This window comes from Homo sapiens, chromosome 12 (assembly GCF_000001405.40).
Source record: "Homo sapiens chromosome 12, GRCh38.p14 Primary Assembly".
NCBI classification, from domain to species: domain Eukaryota; kingdom Metazoa; phylum Chordata; class Mammalia; order Primates; family Hominidae; genus Homo; species Homo sapiens.
Window position 1 is genome coordinate 116,322,504 of NC_000012.12, and position 3,002 is coordinate 116,325,505.

Genomic DNA, 3,002 nt, shown 5'->3' on the forward strand with positions numbered 1-3,002 from the left:
CAGACCCTCAATATGTGTTTGTTGATTGATTGAATGAATGAATGAATAAATGAAAATAAATGAATGAAAATGAACTCCAAAATCATGCTTGGCTCATGGGTAAATAGAACTCTCTTCACACAGCCTCCAACCTCCTCCACCCCACTCTCCTCCCCCCAACCTCAAATCAGTGGGCTTGTTGTCATCTAAGGCACAATTTTTCTAAATGTAGCATTTTCCAGGGTAAATATCCCTTTGAAAAAAATGTGAAGAAAAATTCTCGCTTGAGATCTTTTTTTAAATGTCTCCAATGACTAAAATCCTCTTACAGTAAGTACCCAGAGAATTGCATTTGCTTAAAGAAAAAAAAAAAAAAAACTGCCGTTTTTAGTCAAGAATGTAGAAAGTACTTGAAAATCATATACTTTTCCCCCCCATCTTACTGAGCAAATTATAAAATGGTAAAATTGATTTTAGTTCTAGATTGTTTTTAAAGCTCCACCTCAGACTGAGGCCTCATGGATAAAGTGGTACTAGGGACTTATCTGGAAAAAAAAAATCCCTATAGTAATAACACTGGAAATTCAAGGAGGAAAAACAGTAGTCACAGGGTTTTTGATTTGTTTTATTTAGGGGAGTATCTTATATGATTTCAAGAGGAAAATTACATATAAATAAGATCTACATTTTGCTTAAAACTATGGATTCAGACTGTATTAAAAAATACGATTAAACCAAGCATGGTGGCTCACACCTGTAATTCTAGCACTTTGGGAGGCCAAGGTAGGTGAGTCACTTGAGCTCAGAAATTTGAGACCAGCCTGAGCAACACAGCAAAACCCCGTCTCTACAAAAAATACAAAAATTATCTGGGCGTGGTGGTGCGTGCCTGTAGTCCCAGCTACTTGGGAGGTTGAGGTGGGAAGATCGCTTGAACCTGGCAGGTGGAGGTTACAGGGAGCCGAGATTGTGCCACTGCACTCCAGCCTGGGCAACAGAGCTAAAGCCATCCCCCATCTCAAAAAAAAAAAAAAAAAAAAAAGGTGAATTCACTCAATGTATATGTTTCCACACACTCAGTAACTCTGAGGCAAGTTTTCAAACCAAATTGCCATGTAGAAAGCAAAGCCAACTTCTCCCTCTTCTCTTCTAAACCTTTGCGCCAATGAGCAGGCTGAGCTCTCAATTACTCAGGGCAGTTGAGTGAGATTTGGAGCACTGAAAAGGTTTCTGGAAAAGAATACGGTGGTGACAACCTTTCCGTGCTCTTCTACGTATATCCTTCTTTACCTAATAGAGGTTAAAAATCATTTCTATTTTGCATGCTTACCCTGACATCATCTTGTCAGTGACTGCCTGAATGGTTCTGGGCAAATATTGTGACTCCAAGTCTGGGTTCTCTATGTGGGGAGGGGAACGGTGCTGTGATTGACTGGTAATGTCCGCCATGAGGAGGGCCATGGAGAGTGGTGGATGGTCTGTGTATTTGCCATTCCTGGATCCTGGTATAGTCTTCTCTTCTATCATAGCTGTTCTAGTAGAAGGAGAACTTCAAGGAGAAGGTGCTGTGCTTCTGAGGATAATGTGTCTCACTCCATTTCATACAGATACACCAAGTCAGCATTTCAATTCACGAAAGCTCCCAAGACAGATGTGAAACAGAAAGACGCCATTGTGGGAAAATCCCTTCCCTTCTCTGGACATATCTAAATAGGCTGTTATATGTGTGACTCCCTCTCAGGGTAAGTATGGCTAAGACATGCTATGTCCCTTCATTGGGTTACTCTACATTTGACTCTGTCACTGTGACACTATATGCTGCCAAAACATCACATCCCTTCCCTTGGAACAAAAAGGTCTTTTCATAAGACTTATTAAGTCTGAACATTAATCATATTCATCATTATTCAGTCTGCCTGCTGTCCACAATACTTAAATGAAGGGAAATTTTAAAAATAGAAAAAGACAAGTTTAGGAACTTCAAGACAATGATGAGAAAGGAATGATGGGGAAGAAAGCAATGGTGACCAAACCTATATTAAAAAATCTTAAATAAAAAAAATTAACAAATAGACTCTTAACTTTCAATATTAGTCTTTATTTCAAAAATAAGAGGAAGAGTGATTAAAGAGATGAATTCACATTTGAATAGGGTCCAAATGACTTAAGGACTATTTGGATTCAAATATTTCAGTTGGACCAGGAATGATGTTAGAGTTATGTGAGGCATTAGGGGTTGAAGTGAAATGGAAATCTTTCTTTCATTTAAAAGCAATTTTCTTGCTTTTGTGGGCCTTGAGAGTTTTCTAGGCTATGCAGGCCAACGAGCCTCCAACTCCCTTGCCTTGGACTCATGAACTCCCATTTCAGATCCAGCCTGTTAGGAGGAAGTAGAGTTTCTGTTTGTGACAGTTCCTTTTGCAGAAATCATGTGGTGCAAGAGAAGATTGTCCATATAGAGCTGAACAGTTGTTAGTTTTGAATCCAAATTAGAAAGTTTCTGCGCTAGGGCTGGGCATGGTGGCTCACACCTGTAATCCTAGCACTTTGGGAAGCCAAGGTTGGAGGATCACTTGAAGCCAGGAGTTAGAGAGCAGCCTGGGCAACATAGCGAGACTTATCTCTACAAAAATTAAAAAAAAATTAGTGGAGTGTAGTGGCATGTACCTGTAGTCCTAGCCACTTGGGAGGCTAAGACAGGAGGATCTCTTGAGCCCAGGAGTTTGAGACTGCAGTGAGTCATAATATCACACCACTGCACTCCAGCCTGGGCGACAGATGTGAGACCCTTCTCTTAAAAAACAAAACAAAAAACAAACAAACAAGAAAGTTTTGGTACTAGTGATACAGTAGAATCACACCTGATTTTGGTTCTGGCTTCAGAGCCTCTCATGTAAGATGCCACCATGAGAACGATCACTGGTGAACAGGGTGAAACAGAAAGTGCTTTGCTTGGAAAGACAGGAAGCAGGTGGTGAGTTCTTCTCCACCACATTTCAAAAACAGAGTGTATGTAGTAGGCC

At 40.3% G+C, this 3,002-nt stretch overlaps 3 annotated features.

Moving 5' to 3' along the window:
* Positions 1,524-1,733: an enhancer, noted in NCBI's record as "active region_7089". NCBI's record gives its function as "activates an Ori minimal core promoter by ATAC-STARR-seq in GM12878 lymphoblastoid cells {active_cell/tissue: GM12878}" and the evidence as "EXISTENCE:reporter gene assay evidence [ECO:0000049][PMID:35858748]".
* Positions 2,793-2,872: an enhancer, noted in NCBI's record as "active region_7090". NCBI's record gives its function as "activates an Ori minimal core promoter by ATAC-STARR-seq in GM12878 lymphoblastoid cells {active_cell/tissue: GM12878}" and the evidence as "EXISTENCE:reporter gene assay evidence [ECO:0000049][PMID:35858748]".
* Positions 2,943-3,002: an enhancer, noted in NCBI's record as "active region_7091". NCBI's record gives its function as "activates an Ori minimal core promoter by ATAC-STARR-seq in GM12878 lymphoblastoid cells {active_cell/tissue: GM12878}" and the evidence as "EXISTENCE:reporter gene assay evidence [ECO:0000049][PMID:35858748]".